General features: G+C 39.7%; 1 protein-coding gene across 1 annotated transcript in view, besides 1 other annotated feature; it reads right to left on the minus strand.

Moving 5' to 3' along the window:
* The window catches only part of GAB2 (GRB2 associated binding protein 2), a 202,528-nt gene that overhangs the window by 183,266 nt on the left and 1,505 nt on the right, over positions 1 to 17,757 (minus strand). The gene's annotated exons all lie outside the window — the stretch shown is intronic.
* Positions 15,169 to 15,298: an enhancer, noted in NCBI's record as "active region_5321". NCBI's record gives its function as "activates an Ori minimal core promoter by ATAC-STARR-seq in GM12878 lymphoblastoid cells {active_cell/tissue: GM12878}" and the evidence as "EXISTENCE:reporter gene assay evidence [ECO:0000049][PMID:35858748]".

Genomic DNA, 17,757 nt, shown 5'->3' on the forward strand with positions numbered 1-17,757 from the left:
ATGACTGAAATTTTTCATAATTAAAAATTGGAAAAAATACTATGTAGATATAAGTGAAAAAATTCACAATGTTATAATAAAAAAAATAAAGTGATAACTGATGTTGGTTATAACCATGTAAAAAATGAGCGTGTGGCCAAAATAACAGCAATAGCAATTAGCACCCTTAGTGCCCATCATGGATTTTGGCATACCACTTTTACTAGAAGAAACCAGGACTCTGAGGAAATGGCTAGCTAATTCCAGGTCTGGGTCAGAAAATGTACAAGATAAACTTGGAACATCTTGTCATACCAGAGAACAAAGAAATTATCAAAGACTAGTAGGGTCAAGTCAAAAGGATCCAGAAATCAACTCGAATAGGCTCCTGCTGGTTAAAGATAGGACAATCTGACTTTCAATAAGGATAACAACTCTAACAGATTCAAATGCATGGAATATGTTTAAACATGTGAGCTTATAATGATACTAAAAAATACCCTAATTGATCACTTTGAAGGATCCTAAGGAACTCACTCACTACTCTGACAGCAAGTAAATAAATAAGAAGCCAGCATAAAAATGGGTTAGAGGGGTAATTAGTTGTAAAGAATATCAGCGACTTCTGAAATTACCTTGATGATAGCTGCTGCCTTACAAGTGGCATCAAGCCTGCACCAAGCTGCTTACAGTCTCAAGCAAAGGGCTCATAATCTAGCAAAGGGAGACTGATAGCCCAATGTGAGAATGGCGAATTAGAGATGAAAAAAGTGTCATGGAAGCAAGCCCAGAAGGCGGCTCCCTTTGGAGGATCCTGCAGGGTAGGCAATCTGAGCTAACCTTTGAAGGGTTACCACTTACTGAGAAGTTTTTGCATTTTAAACCATTCTCAAACATTGGCCCCAGGATCTCACATATTGATCTTTACATCCCCCAGCACACACCTATTTCCCAGCGACTGGCCAAAGTCATAGCTTCAGACAAATCCCTGTGTGGTTTAATTTCCCTTCCATGAGACTGGCAGATCCTTGAGCTGTTCCTTTCAGGAAAAATTAACTCCCTAAAATTTGATGTGCTACCCAGCTTGAGAATTTCAGTTATGTTCTGACATTGTACATTCCAGGTATGGCTCAAATTTGAAAGGGATGTGAAGGCACCCATGCTCATGTTCAGAGTTCCTATGAATAGGTTAATAAATGTAAGTCAACATCATCCCTATGCCACCTCCCCCAGTACTTAATACTCTGGACTAGACACTGTGCTAAGATTTTTTTCACATGTTATTCTGATAAATGTGCAAACCCAGTGAAATAAGAAGCATTAGTCTAATTTTACAGACAAAGAAGTGGCCTCAGTGAATTAAAAGAATTAAGTCATTTGCTTAATGACCCTAAGGCCTTTGAAATACTGAGAGGTTTTCTGAACATAAACATTGTCAATATACACTGACATTTCACACTGAAGAAGTGGCCATCTGTGAGGGAAAGACTCACTGAGTTAGTGATGCTCTTTATCAGTAAATGTCATCCTACCATCTAAGGCATTTACTGGGAATTATAAAATATTCCCCCCAGCTCTGAACTTTCAAAACTTCCTGCTTTCTGCTACAGATTCCTCCACTCTGGATGGAATTTTACTGGCCCCACACCCCATGTGCACCACCTCTTTCTCATTTTGAACACCATATTCCTTCCTAGGCCCTTATCTCTTGAGTCCAACTCACATGTCCACCTCCTATTCCAGGAAGCCCCTCCAACTTCTTCCACACCAAGAGCATTTGCCTTCACGCAACTTGGTGCCTGGATAACTCCATATAAGGGCATCATTCTGTTTCACATGTAGACTTCTAGTCTTTCTAGTCTGCAAATGCCTTGAAGGCAGGGATGAGTACTGATTTATTACCTTGGGAAGGGAAAGGATACAGTATATGCTCTATAAACACCTGTCAAAATTAATTTGGATGTAGACAACAGCCTGCTCAGGAACCTGTATTTCTCAGCATTTCTTATAAGCTTAAAGTTACTATATCTCATTGTCCCTTTCTACCTAGAGATAAAAAGCAACATCAAAGGTGTTTCATTAAGGCCAGGCGCAGTGGCTCATGTCTGTAATCCCAGCACTTTGGGAGGCTGAGGCAGGTAGATCACTTGAGGCCAGGAGTTCGAGACCAGCCTGGTCAACAGAGCAAAACCCCATCTCTATTGAAAATACAAAAAAATTAGCCAGGCATAGTGGTGCAGCCTGTAATCCCAGCTTCTCTGGAGGCTAAGGCACAAGAATTGCTTACGCCTAGGAGGCGGAGACTGCAGCAAGCCAAGACTGTGCCACTGCACTCCAGCCTGAGTGACAGAGTGAGACTGTCTCAAAAAAAAAAAAAAAAAAAAAAAAAAGGTTGTTTCATTAAGCGAAGCAGCAGGCATGTCTTCCAGCTCTGTGCAACTTCATTGCCTCAGGTCCTTACATGTCACTGAGAGAATATTCCATAATCATTCATGGCTGTGGAGATTCCATCCTGTCTTTTCTCTTGGGTTAGAAATATGAGCAAGACCAATTACTAACCTTTACCAAGTGAGGTTTAAAAAAAAAAAACTGTCATAAAATGTACAGAATACAAAATTTATCATCTTATCATTTTTAAGTGTACAGCTCAGTGGCATTAAGTACATTCACATTGCTGTTGCCACCATTACCACCAATGTCCAGAACCCTTTATCTTGCAAAACTGAAACTCTGTACCCATTAAACAATAGCTGCTCATTGTCCCCTACCCCTAGCCCCTGGCAACTAGCACTAGACTTTCTGTCTCTCTGAATTTGACTACTCTAGTACCTCACATAAGTAGAATCATACAGTATTTGTCCTTTTGTGACTGGCTCATTTTATTTAGCATAATGTCATCAAGGTTCATCTATGTTGTATCATGTCCATGTATTAAAGTTTTCTTCCCTTTTAAGGCTGAACAGTATTCGTGTGTGTGTGTGTGTGTGTGTGTGTGTGTGTGTGTGTGTGTCTGGCTCCTTTTATTTAGCATAATGTCATCAAGGTTCATCTCTGTTGTAGCATGTCCATGTATTAAAGTTTTCTTCCCTTTTAAGGCTGAACAGTATTCCAGTGTGTGTGCGTGTGTGTATATATATGTATACCAGATAGCATATATGTGATATGTATATGTGTGTATATATGAACACACACATATCACATTTTGTTTATTCAATTATCTGTTGGTGGACACTTGAGTTGCTTCCAAATGAGAAGTTCTGATCCAATGTGAATGATAAAAAGCTCAGGAGACTGGCCTTGAACTGGTTAGAACAGTCTCCTTAATGCTGTGAATATAATCGAAGAAATAATCCAGTGATTAGGACCACAATAGAAACCTACTAAAATGAATTTCCATCTGGTTATATGAACCATATAGAATTATTTATTTAAATACTCAAATAATCTGTTGGAATAATGCCCTGGCTGCCTAGGATGGTCTACAAACAAGTCTTGAATGGACTCCAGTTTTTGAAGATCTTCCCCTCCCCTGTTCTTACCAGCCCAGGTATTCTCTCTTACTTACCTCTCCAGCTTCAAAGCCTTCTATTCCAATCATCCTGCTGATAATCCAGCAACACCCAACTGTTTTTAGTGTCCTTGCACACACTGTGTATGTCCTTGCCACCTTGTCTACTCTCTTAGTGGTCCCTCTACCTGAAAAACCTTCTTCTCTTGGATTACTTCTATCTAGTCAGGTCCTAGAAGTAAGGAAGCCTTTGCTTTTTCTTCTCTAGGAAGCCTTTGCTTTTTTTTCTTTGCAGTCCCAGAACTTGGGCACTTGGCACATACTAATTGTTTGATAAATTACTGAACTAAATTATACTAAATACATTTTCATTTTTGTTTAAAAAAAATTTTTTTTTTTTTGAGACAGAGTTTCACTCTTGTCGCCCAGGCTGGAGTACAGTGGCACAATCTCAGCCCAATGCAACCTCCGCCTCCCAGGTTCAAGCAATTCTCCGGCCTCAGCCGCACCCCCCCACCCCCACCCCCAATCGCCCCAGTAGCTGGGATTACAGGCACGTACCACCACGCCCAGCTAATTTTTGTATTTTTGGTAGAGATGGGATTTCACCATGTTGGCCAGGCTGGTCTCAAACTCCTCAGGTGACCTGCCCGCCTCGGCCACCCAAAGTGCTGGGATTACAGACATGAGCCACTGCGCCCGGCCATGAGCAGACTTTTAAAAGTCACCTTTTAGAAAATTTAAAGAATCATCTTATTACAATGAACTGCATGCTTCTGCCTCACAATGCCCCAGCCCGCCCCACCACCCCAATTCACATGTTGGAATCCTAATCCCTAAAGTGACCGTATTAGGAGGTGGGTCCTTTGGGAGGTTATCAGGTCATGAGGGCAGAGTACTCATAAATTAGAGACATTATAATTAGAGACATTATAAAAGAAACCCTGAGGAGCTTCTTTCCCTCTTCAACCATGTGAGGACACAATGGAAGACATTGTCTATGAGGAAGTGGGCAATCACCAGACGCTGAATGTGTCAGTGCCTTGATCTTGGACTTGCCAGCCTCCAGAGCTTTTAGAAGTAAATGTCTGTTGCTTATAAACCACCCAGCTAAGGCTACTTTGTTATAGCAGCCTGAATGGACTAAGATACTAATCAAGGATAGCAAATCACTTAAACATATTTACGAAGTTTAAATTTTTAAAAACTGCTAGGGTTACCCTATAGCTTAAAAAGAAAATTAATAATTGCTTGAGTTTTAAAGAGTTAAACTGCAGGATAATTATGGCAATACTATGTAAGTTTAAAATAATCTCGTCATTTAAACATTTGTAAATGGCTACCTTTTTGCAAATGGACTATAGTAAACAGAAATTATCTAGCTATGCTAAAGTAGGACAGAAGTCACCTTTGACAAAGGTGCCAAGAACATACACTGGAAAAAGTGCAGTTTCTTCAATAAATGTTCTAGGAAAACTTGATATCCATATGCAGAAGAATGAAACTAGACCCCTATCTTTCTCAATATTTAAAAATGAAATCAAAATGGATTAAGGACTTAAATATGAGACCTGAAACTATAAAACTATTAGTAGAAAATATTGAGGAAATGCTCCAGGACATTGGTCTGGGCAAAGATTTCTTGAGCAAGACCTCAAAAGCACAAGCAACCAAAGCAAAAACGGACAGAAGGGATCACATCAAGCTTAAAAGCTTTGACACAGCAAAGGAAACAATTAACAACATGAAGAAACAACTCACAGAATGCGAGAAAATATGTGTAAACTACTCATCTGACAAGGGATTAATAACTAGAATATATAAGGAGCTCAAAGTCATATATGCTGGCATTCAGTTCTTTTTTTTTGTAAAATATGCTAAGTATCTACAGAAAAAAAGACAAGTGATAACAGACGCTGGGAAGGATGTGGAGAAAGGGAAGCCCTCACACATTGTTGGTAGGAATGTAAATTAGTACAGCCCCCATAGAGAACAGTATGATAGTTCTTCAAAAAACTAAAAATAGAACTACCATATGATCTAGCAATCCCACTGCTGGCTATATATCCAAAAGAAAGGAAATCAATGTATTGAAGAGATATCTGCACTCCCATGCTTATTATAGTAGCCAACATGCAGAATCAACCTAAGTGTCCATCAATCGATGAATGCATTTAAAAAATGTGGTACATATACACAATGGAATATTATTCAGGGCTGGGCACAGTGGCTCATGCCTTTAATCCCAGCACTTTAGGAGGCCAAGGCAGGAAAGTCACTTGAGCTCAGGAGTTCGAGATGAGCCTGGGCAACATAGTGAGCCCTCACCTCTGCAAAAAATAAAACAAAAAATTAGCCAGGCCGGGTGGCGCATGTCTGTAGTCCCAGCTACTCAGGAGGATGAGGTGGCAGGATCGCTTGAGCCTAGGAGGTTGAGGCTGCAGTGAGCCAAGATTGTACCACTACACCTCTTGGTAACAGAGCAAGACTCCGTCTTGAAAACAACAATAACAATGGAATACTATTCGGCCATACAAATAATGAAATCCTGCCATTCGTGGCAACACGGTTGGTACTGGAGGACATTATGTTAAGCAAAATAAGCCAGGAACAGAAATTTAAACACTGCATGTTCTTACTCATATGTGGAAGCTAAAAAAACTGAACTCATGGAGATAGAGAAACAATAACGATTATCAGATACTGGAAAGGACAGTGGGAAGAGAAGTATAAAGAAGGGATGGTTAGTGGGTATAAAAATACAGTTAGAAGAACTAAGATCTAATATTTGGTAGCAAGATAGAGCAAGTATAGTTAACAATAATTTATTGTATACTTCAAAATAACAAGACTGGAATTGGAATGTTCCTAACAAAAAGAAATGATAAACGTTTGAGGTGATGAGTATCCTAAGCACACATTATATGCTTGTATCAAAATTTCACATCTCCATAAATATTTACAACTATTATGTATCCGTAAAAAGTAAAAATTAAAAAAATAAAGGCAGAATCCTAATCCACAGAATGTGGGGAAAAAACATGGATTTTTTTTTTTTTTTTTTTTTTTTTGAGATGGAGTCTAGCTCTGTCGCCCAGGCTGGAATGCAGTGGCGCAATCTCGGCTCACTGCAAGCTCCACCTCCCCGGTTCACGCCATTCTCCTGCCTCAGACTCCTGAGGAGCTGGAACTACAGGTGCCTGCCACCACACCCGGCTAATTTTTTGTATTTTTAGTAGAGATGGGGTTTCGCTGTGTTAGCCAGGATGGTCTCGATCTCCTGACCTCTGTGATCTACCTGCCTCGGCCTCCCAAAGTGCTGGGATTATAGGCGTGAGCCACCACGCCTGGCCAAGCACATGGATTTTAATGAGAAGACTTGGTTTGTAGTCCTGGGTCTGCTACTTACTATATGTGTGGCACTTAAGCTCTGTGCTCAGTTTCTCCTCTGGTAACATGGGAATAAAATATCTAGTAATTGCCACTACTATACTATATGTTTACTGGTAACAAGTGCTTTTGTATAAGCAACATTCAAGACCATACACAGTGGGTAAATGGAATAGACATACTTTTCCCTATTCCCACCACTAAGTACAACTAAAATCCTTAGATATTACATATAAAACAAGCTTAAGAAGAATCTAAAAGGTGAAGAGTAGGCGGCAGATTTGCTAGGGACCCTGGAACCCAAGGAATGACACAGTGATAAATTCCATGAGTTTTCTTTATGCCTCATATATCTCAGACTTGGAGCTGAAGCAGTCAGCATGGCAGAAACACCAACCTGTGTAGACCAAAAAATTCCCAAAGAAAGTCTGCTCTCTCTAGCCAAAGGACTGGGAAAGGAGCAGCCTAGCAAGAGACGAAACTGCTAAACAATAACTGCTCTACTCCAGCCAAACACCGCAGAGCAAACTGTGGTCCAACCCTCACCCACAGCAGCAAAAACTGACTGACAACCTAGACTTCTACCCTTCAGAGGTTGTCATGAGGCCAGGTGACACCTGCTAGGGTGGTGTCAAAGAAAGCCAAGTAGAAAGCTATGATATGCATACCCAAAAACTGGTAATAAGGCACCCATCCCTGTAGAGTCACTGGAGACCACATGGGAAGTTGGAACCTTAAACCATTCACAGGAGTAATGAGGACTACCTTCCTATCGGGAGTGTCAATGGAGGTGGAATGAAAAACCTGGACTTCAACTTCTACTTGAAAGTACTAAGGCAGTGTCCCCTTCCGATGATTGCAGCAGGGTCAGAGAAATCCAGATAAAACACAAGGTTTAAATTAGATCCAGAGTATCACAACACAATACAAAAATGTCCACGTTTAATTTTTTTTTTTTTTGAGACAGAATCTTGCTCTGTTGCCCAGGTTGGAGTGCAATGGCATGATCTTGGCTCAGAGCAACCTCTGCCCCCTGGGTTGAAGCAATTCTCTCACCTCAGCCTCCGAAGTAGCTGGGATTACAGTCACCTGCCACCATGCCTGGGTAATTTTTGTATTTTCAGTAGAGACAGGGTTTCGCCATGTTGGCCAGGCTGGTCTTGAGCTCCTGACCTCAGGTGACTCACCTGCCTTGGCCTCCCAAAGTGCTAGGATTACATGTGTGAGCCAAAAATGTCCAGGTTTTAATAGAAAACGACTCATTATACAAAGAATGAGGAAGCTCTCAAATGGAATGAAAAAGACAATCGACAGATGCCAACACTGAGATAACAGAGCTGTTAGAATTATCTTTCAAAGATTTTAAAGAGTCATCATAAAAATGCAGGTACAAACATGCTTGGAACAAATGGAAAATTGGAAAGCCTCCAAAAAGAAACAAAGTCTCAGTAAAAAAATAGAAGATGTAAAGAAAAACCAAATGGAATTTTAGAACTGAAAAATATAACCACCAAAATAAAAAAGTTCATCAGTGAGTTCAATGGCAGAATAGTGAGGACAGAGAAATAGAATCAGTGAATGGGAAAACAGGACAGTAGAAATAACCTAATATGAACAACACAGAGAAAACAGACTGAAAAAAAATGACCAGAGTCTACAGAAGCTATGGAACTACAACAAAAGATCTAACAGTTTTGTCATTGGATTCTTGGAAGAAGAGAAGAAAGAGGGTAGGACTGAGAAAGTACTTGAAATAATGGGTGAAAACTTCTCAAATGTAGTAAGAAAGATTCAGTAGGTTTAGTGAGTTCCAAACAGGATAAACTCAAGAAAATTCCACACCAAGACACATAGCAAAATTCTGAAAATAAAGAGAAAAAAAATCATTGAACGCATCCAGAGAAAAAGATGGGAGCTGGTCGTGGTGGCTCACTCCTGTAATCCCAGCACTTTGGGAGGCTGAGTTGGGTGGATCACCTGAGGTCAGGAGTTCAAGACCAGCCTGGCCAACATAGTGAAACCCTGTCTCTACCAAAAATACAAAAAAATTAGCTGGGCGTGGTGGTGAGCGCCTGTAATCTCAGCTACTAGGGAGGCTGAGGCAGGAGAATCTATTGAACCTGGGACGCAGACATTGCAGTGAGCCCAGATAGTGCCATTGCATTCCAGCCTGGGTGACAAGAGTGAAACTCCTTCTCAAAGAAAGAAAGAAAGAAAGAAAGTAAGAAAGAAAGAAAGAAAGAAAGAAAGAAAGAAAGAAAGAAAGAGATGGCATTTTCCGTCCCAAAAAGAAAGAAAGAAAGAAAGAAAGAAAAAGAAAGAAAGAAAGAAAGAGAGAGAAAGAAAGAAAGAAAAGAAAAGAAAGAAAAAGAGGGCATTTTACCTCCTGAGGGAAAGCAATTGGAAAGACCATGGATTTTTCATTAGAAACCATGCAGGCCAGAAGGAAAGGATGCAGTATTTTACAGGTGCTCAAAGAAAAGAAGTGTCAACTAAATAATTCAATATCCAGTGAAAATATCAGAATGAAGGGGAAAATGAGACCTTCTCAGGTGAAGGAAAATAAAGACAATTTATCACTGGCCAATCTACCCTAAAGAATGGCTAAAGGAAGTTCTCTAAACAGAAAGGAAATGAAAAAAAGAGGAACCTGAAAACATCAGCAAAGAAGAAAGCACATAGTAAACAAAAATGTAATTAAATAGTCTTTCCTTCTGAGTTTTCTAAATTAGGTTTAATGACTGAAGCAAAAATTATAGCACTGTCTGATATAAAAAAAATATTTAAGACAATTATATATGGAGGATGGCAAAAGGACATAAAGGGAGGTAAGGTTACTATACTTTACTTAAACTTGTAAAATGATGATACAGACTTCATTTAGATTATAAGACGACACCAACTGACTGTTGTATGTACAGTATAATACCTAGAGCAACCACTAAAAAAGCTGTATAGAGAGATACACTCAAAAACACTATATAGATAAATCAAAATGGAATTCTAAAAAATATTCAAGAAACTCACAGGAAGGCAAGAAGAAAACAAAAACAGAACACAAACAAAAAATAAAGTGGCAGAACTAAGCTCTAGCATATTAGAAATTATATTAAGTGTAAATTTAAATATACCAATTAAGACATAAATCAGCACAGTGGATTAAAAACATGCCCCATGATATGGTTTGGGTATGTGTCCCTGCCCAAATCTGAGGTCAAATTGTCATCCCCAAATATTGGAGGTGGGGCCTGATGGGAAATGATTGGATTATGGAGGTGGAGTTCCCCTTTGGTGCTGTTCTCATGATAGTGAGTGAGTTATTGTGAGATCTGGTTATTTAGAAGTGTGTAGTACCTCTCCCCTCACTCTCTTCCTCCTGCTCCAGCCATGTAAGATGTGCCTGCTTCTCCCTCACCTTCCGCCATGACTGTAAGTTTCCTGAGGCCTCCCCAGCCATGCTTCCTGTACAGCTTGTGGAACTGTGGGCCAATTAAACCTCTTTTCTTGATAAATTACCCAGTCTCAGGTAGTTCTTTACAGCAGTGCGAGAACGGATTAATACACCCCAACAATATGCCACCTATAAGATATCACTTCAAATACAATGATATGGGTAGGTTGAAAGTAAATTGATGGAAAAGATGTATCATGTGAATATCAATAAAAGGAAAGCAAGAATAACTATATCATCAGATATAGGCTATAATATATCAAGTAGCCCTCAGATACTTGTATAATATATCAGATAACAAGTAGACCTCAGAGCAAAAGAAATTACCAGAGACTCAGCAGGTATTATATAAAGATAAAAGGGTCATGCCACCAAGAAGATGTTGCAATTCTAAATGTGTATATATTGAACAACAGGGCTGGGTGCGGTGGCTCATGTCTGTAATCCCAGCACTTTGGGAGGCCGAGGCAGGCGGATGACCTGAGGTCAGGAGTTCGAGACCAGTCTGGCCAACATGGAGAAACCCTGTCTCTATTAAAAATACAAAATTAGCCGGGTGTGGTGGCGCATGCCTGTAATCCCAACTACTTGGGAGGCTGAGGCAGGAGAATTGCTTGCACCCAGGAGGTGGAGGTTGCGGAGAGCTGAGATCATGCTATTGCACCTCCAGCCTGGGCAACAACAGCGGAACTCCATCTCCAAAAAAATAATAAAAAAAATAAAATATGTGAAACAAAAACAGATATAAGTGAAATGAGAAACAGAAATATTCACAATTATAGTTGGAAACTTCAACCCCTGTCTCTCAACAATCGACAGAAGAACTAGATAGAAAAATCAGCAAGGATATAAAAGAATTATATATATCACTATCAATCAAAAAGATATAATTGACATTTATGGAATACTTTACCCAATAATAGCAGAATAAACATTCTTTTCAAAGTACCCATGGAACCTAAAGCAAGATAGACCACATTTTCAGCAATAAAATAAACCTTGACAAGTTAAAAATAATTGAAATCAAATAGAACTTACTCTACTCCCACAATGAATTCCAACTAAAAGACAGAAACAGAAAAATAATGGGAAAATCTCCAAACATTTGGAAACTAAACAATGTACTTGTAAATAATCCATGGTCAAAGAGGAAAGTCTCAAGGAAAGTAAAAAAAATATATATATACTGAGCAAATAAAAATTGAAAATGCAATTTATCAAAATTAGTGGGACACAGCTAAAGCAGTGCTGAGAGGGAAATTCATAGCAGTAAATGAATACATTAAATAAGAGGAAAAGTCTCAAATGAATAAACTACTATATAAAAAAATCAGAGGCCAGGTGCAGCGGCTCATGCCTGTAATTGCAGCACTTTGGGAGGCCAAAGCAGGCAGATCACTTAAGGTCAGGAGTTTGAGACCAGCCTGGCCAATATGGTGAAACCCTGTCTCTACTAAAAATACAAAAATCAGCTGGGCATTGTGGCACATGCCTGCAATCCCAGCTGCTCGGGAGGCTGAGGCAGGAGAACTGCTGGAACCTGGGAGGTGGAGGTTGTAGTGAGCTGAGATCGTGCCATTGCACTCCACCCCAGGTGACAGAGTGACATGCTGTCTCAAAAAACAAACAAAAAATAATAATGAAGCAATGTCAGTATGCAAGAATAAGGGTTAAAAAAATAAAGCAGTGGACCCACTACAGACCCTGCAGACACTGAAAGCATAATACAGGATACTGTAACTCCACTCACATGTATGTAACAACTTAGACAAAATGGACCAATTTGTTGAAAAATGTAAACTTCTATAATTCAGCCAATATGAAGTAGATAATTTGAAGAACCCCGTATCTATTAAAGAAATTGGATTAAAAATGTAAAAAATTCCTAACAAAGACATTTCCAGATCCAGATGGTTTAATCTGGAGAATTCTACCAAAGGTTTAAAGAATTATACCAGTTCTACACCATCTCTTCCAGAAGGCTAGACATGGTGGTTCACACCTATAATCGCAGCACTCTGGGAAGCCAAGGTGGGAGGACTGCTTAAGCTCCGGAGTGTGAGACCAGCCTGGGCAACGCAGGGAGACCCTGTCTCTACAAATAATAAAAAAAAAAATTAGCCAGGCACAGCAGTACGCAGCTGTCGTCCCAATTACTTGGGAGGCTGAGACAGTAGGATCACCTGAGCCCAGGAATTTGAGGCTGCAGTGAGCCATGATTGTGCCACTGTCGCCAGCCTGTGTGACACAGCAAGATTCTGGTGGGGGTGGTTGGGGGGGGGGATGGTGGAAGGAGAAGAAAATAAACGAAGGAAGAAAGACATATATAAATAAATGTAAAATAAATTCATGGACTGGAAGATTTAATATAGTAAAGCTGTAATTTCTTCCCAAATTGGTACACAGGATTAATGCACTTCCTATTAAAATCTCAGCAAGACTTTCTTTTTTTTGCATAAACAAGATTATTCTAAAATTTGTATTGAAAGGTAAAGATAATAGAATAGCTAAAACACTTTGAAAAATAAGAATAAAGTAGAGGAATCAGGCTACCAGATTTCAAGACTTACAATATAGCTAGAGTTGGCAAGATTCTATGGTATTTGCAGAGGGACAGACACATGGAAAAATGGACCAAAACAGAGACAACAGAAACAGACCCACACAAATACGTCCAACTGATTTTTGACAAAGACGGAAAAGCAATTCAATGGAAGTAGGATGGCTTTGTCAACAACAATGACAACAACAAAAGAACCTCAATCTAAGTCTCACATCTTACATGAAAATTAACTCACAGTGGATCACGGACTTAAAGGAAAAACATAAACCTGTAAAATGTGTAGAAAAAAAAAAACCAGGAAAGCCGGCGCAGTGGCTCACGCCTGTAATCCCAGCACTTTGGGAGGCCAAGGTGGGCGGATCACGAGGTCAAGAGATTGAGACCATCCTGGCCAACATGGTGAAACCCTGTCTCTACTAAAAATACAAAAATGAGCTGGGCATGGTGGCGCACACCTGTAGTCCCAGCTACTCAGGAGGCTGAGGCAGGAGAATCGCTTGAACCTGGGAGGCAGAGGTTGCAGTGAGCCAAGACTGTGCCACCGCACTCCAGCCTGGGTGACAGAGTGAGAATCTGTCTAAAAACAACAACAACAACAACAACAACAACAAAGAGAATCACTTGAACCTGGGGAGCCGAGATCATGCCATTGCACTCCAGCCTGGGTAACAAGAGCAAAACTCCATCTCAAAAAAAAAAAACCTATATATAAAATACTCAAATTCTTGAAGACATTTGACCAAAGAGGATATACAGATGGCAAATAATCATATGAAAAGATGTTCAACATCATTAGCCATAAGGGAAATGTAAATGAGAACTAACGGGTGAATGGTTAAATAAACAGACTGTGTGGTACATCCATACCATGAAATACTACTTAGCAATAAAAAACAATAACTATTGATGCATGAAATGAGGATGAATCTCCAGAGAATTATGCTGAATAAAAAAAAGTTCAAAATCTTAAGTACTGCATGAATCCATTTAAATAACACACATGAAATATCAGAGAACAGATTAGTAGTTGTCACAGATTAAGGATGTGGTAGGGGTGGGATGGTAGTGAATACGATTATAAAAGGGCAACATAAAAAATCCTATCATGATGGAAATGCTCTGTATCTTGACTGTATCATTGTCAATATACTGTTGTGATACTGTACTATAATTTTGCAAGATGTTACCATTAAGGAAAACTGGATAATGGCTACATAAATCTTTGTTTACTATTTCTTACAACTAGATGTGCATGTAGAATTACCTCAAAATGAAATGTTTAATTTTTTTAAAAAGCCCAGGCTTTAGGACAAAGCTAGATGACTTTGGGTAAGTTGCTTCCCTTATTATAGGGCTAAATTACTACATTAAAAGATCAATGGTCTAAGCATAGTGCCTGGTACAAAGTAAGTGCTCAACAGATGGCTACTAAAATAATCCTAAAAGTCATGGCAGTGGGGATGAAGAAGCGTATAACAAGATATTTAGATGATACCACTAATGGGTTTTGGTGACAGATTAGATGTGGGATAGTGGGTGACGGGGAGTCAAAGATGATGCCCAAGTTTCTCATCTGAGCAAGTAGGTGCTTAGTGGCACTGTTTACTGAGCAGATGTGGAGTGAAGAGATGAACAAAGAAGAGTTTAGTTTTGGAAGTGGTGAGTTTGTGTTGACTGGGAAACATTCAAATAGAGATGCCCAGTTAACAGTTGGATATGTAAGTCTGAAGTTCAGAACACAACTCTGAGATGGAAATTTAACTTGATGACCACCATGCAAATGATAACTGAAGCCAGTAGAATGGACAAGGTTGCCAAAGGGGAGAAACCACACAGCCACTATGACTATAAAGGAGCTTCAACCTTTAAGGACTGGATAAAAGGGTCAGTCTAGCAAAGGAAATATAGAGTAGCCAGAAAAGGAGAAATAACAGGCATTTATAGTGTCAGCCAAGATAAGAGGAAGGTGTTTTAAAAAAGAGTGGTCAACTATGACCAAGCAGTGAAGAGATTAATTAAAATGAGGAGTAAAAAATCATCCTCTGAGTTTAGTGACCTGGGTATCGCTGGTGCCTTTGTCAGAATAGCTTTGGTGAATAACAAAGTAGGTTTCCACTGGAGCCGACTGAGAAGAAGGTGGGAGAAAGGAAGACTGCATAAACCACCACCAAGTTTATCCCTGAAAAAAAGTAGGTAGTACAGAGAGGGAAAGAAGTTGAAGATGTGTTACAGGATAAGAATTATTTGAGTAGGGAGGAGAAGATATGATTCAAAGTATAAGTAGCAGGATTAGCTCAGATAGAAGTGGCACTTCATCTACTCTAAGAAAAGGAAACAAGAAAGGAACCATGCAGGCTGGGCGCGGTGGCTCATGTCTGTCTGTAATCCCAGCACTGTGGGAGGCCGAGGCGGGTGGATCACCTGAGGTCAGGAGTTCAAGACCAGCCTCACCAACGTGGTCAAGCCTCATCTCTACTAAAAATACAAAATTAGCCAGGTGTGGTGATGCATGCCTGTAATCCCAGCTACTTGGGAGGCTGAGGCAGGAGAATCGCTTGAACCCAGGAGGCAAAGGTTGCAGTGAGCCCAGATCGTGCATTGCACTCCAGCCTAGGCAACAAAAGTGAAACTCTGTCTCAAAAAAAAAAAAAAAAAAAAGGAAGAAAGAAAGGAACTATGCAGATACAAGTAAATTTGAAAATGTGGCCATTCATCGTACGTACAGACAACTACTCCCTCATCATTTCAATTTTCCTTTGAAGGAGAAGGCAAAGCCATTGCTAAGACTGAAAGACTGGATTAATTTTTTTTTCTGTTTACTGGATTTTTATTCCAAGCACCTGATCCAGTGCCTGGGACATAGATTTAATAAGTATATTTAATAAATATAATGGAAATAAACAATTACTGTTACCTTAATGCAGTAGTTCTTTACAATTTGTGCACAACTTTCTTCAAGTTAGCCACTAGGGGGTAGTCTGCCAATCTTATTCCCTCAATCTTTTAATCCAGTGAAATTGATAGAAAACTACAATGCAGTGTAGGTCATATTAATAAAATGTTTTTCCTCAAGAAAATTCTGTTTAATAATTATATACATGTACGTGTGTATGCATTTGCATGCACGCGCATACACACACAAATACACTGAGGCACGATGGGAGGGTTGTTACTTCTGCCGGCCTCCCACTGCAGCCATATCAGGATGCCCCAGAGGCAATAGTCAGCATTTTCCAGAGACACTTTTTGCAATTTCTCCAGGGCACTCAGTAAATAGCAGATAGGTCTCTTATACTTATACTTAATTAACTAGAAAAGGCTGATGAAAAAAATCCCTGAAAACTAATTGCTCAAACATTTGCCTTTGCTTCTTCTAAGATGTTTTTCCCCTCTACACCTTCCCGTCTTTCCGAATTAAGTAAGTTTTTTTGTTTTTCTTTGAAATGGAGTCTCGTTTTGTCACCCAGGCTGGAGTGCAGTGGTACGATCTCGGCTCACTGCAACCTCAGCCTCCCGGGCTCACGCGATTCTCATGTCTCAGCCTCCTGAGTAGCTGGGACTACAGATGCCCTCCATGACGCCCAGCTAATTTTTATATTTATGGTAGAGACGGGGTTTCACCACATTGGCCAGGCTGGTCTCGAACTTCTGACCTCCAGTGATCCACCCGCCTCAGCCTCCCAAAGTGCTGGGATTACAGGCATAAGCCACTGCGCCCAGACTTCAAATTAAGTCAGTTTTTTAAAAAATCGTTTTAAATAGTTATAACCTAGTTCAACTACTTTTTCCCCTTATCACATATGCTCGATGTATTCTTATAATGAGGATTTCTCAATCTACAATATAACACGCCTATGATGTATACCAGAAGCAGCAGCTACTTTGGGGTAAATATACAGCCATGGGGCTGGGAAATACTTTCCAAGCTTGGTTCTAATGAACTCGGGCCTCTACTGAAATAAGCAAACTAGCAGAGTTTTAACTTACAACAGGATGCAAAAATTCTGAATACCCCAAAAGAAAAGTAGATGTAAAGGCATACTGTTCCCCAGAGGCTTAAGGTTACACATATCACCAGTTTCAGTTAGGGGGAAACTGAACTTCCGAAGGGGCAGAGGCTTCCAGTCATGTAAGTGAACACATCACATCCTAACCTAAGAAAAGCTGTTACTTAAAGCTGTTAAGGTCTGACACCTGATGGGCTGAAGGTACATGGAAGATGGGAAAGAGAGGCTAAGGCCATCATACGACTAGATTCGTTCAAATCAGTGAAAAAGGTGCTTGACCCAAATGCCTCCAAACCTGGTTATTTTGAACTAAAGTTGTTTGGGAACAAAAACACCCAAGAAATGGGTCATAGAGTCTGGGTGAGAGTTCAAGGAGCGATAAGTCAAATGTAGATACAGTGTCATACTGTTTGCAAATTGTTTCAAAAACAACTTTCAAGGTTCTTTAGTGTATAGTGTTCAAACTTGAAAATTAAGGGTCACTTTTTTTTTTTTTTTTTTTACTGTGGACACTGTATTCCACTAGCTTGTATGGAAATCTATTTGTATAGATAATTTTTGGAAGCTCTTCGGGACAAAGTTTTTAAATTATTTATAAAATTGTTAATAGTAAATCACTGCTCCTTAATCCTAATTAAAATATTCAACCTTCCTAACGAACTGATACAACCCTGAAGAGGAAAAAAGTTTATTTCTTAATAATTATACTTTGGCTACATAGACACTCCTAAAAATGAGCTTCCGAACTGAGATGAACAATTCACTGCTTCATTCCTCCTATAAATCCACGTCCACTTTCAAAACTCATGTGCTAAATCCTTAGATTTTTTTCCCCCAGCAAACATCTACCTAAGAGCCT

This window comes from Homo sapiens, chromosome 11 (genome assembly GCF_000001405.40).
Source record: "Homo sapiens chromosome 11, GRCh38.p14 Primary Assembly".
Lineage (NCBI taxonomy): Eukaryota > Metazoa > Chordata > Mammalia > Primates > Hominidae > Homo > Homo sapiens.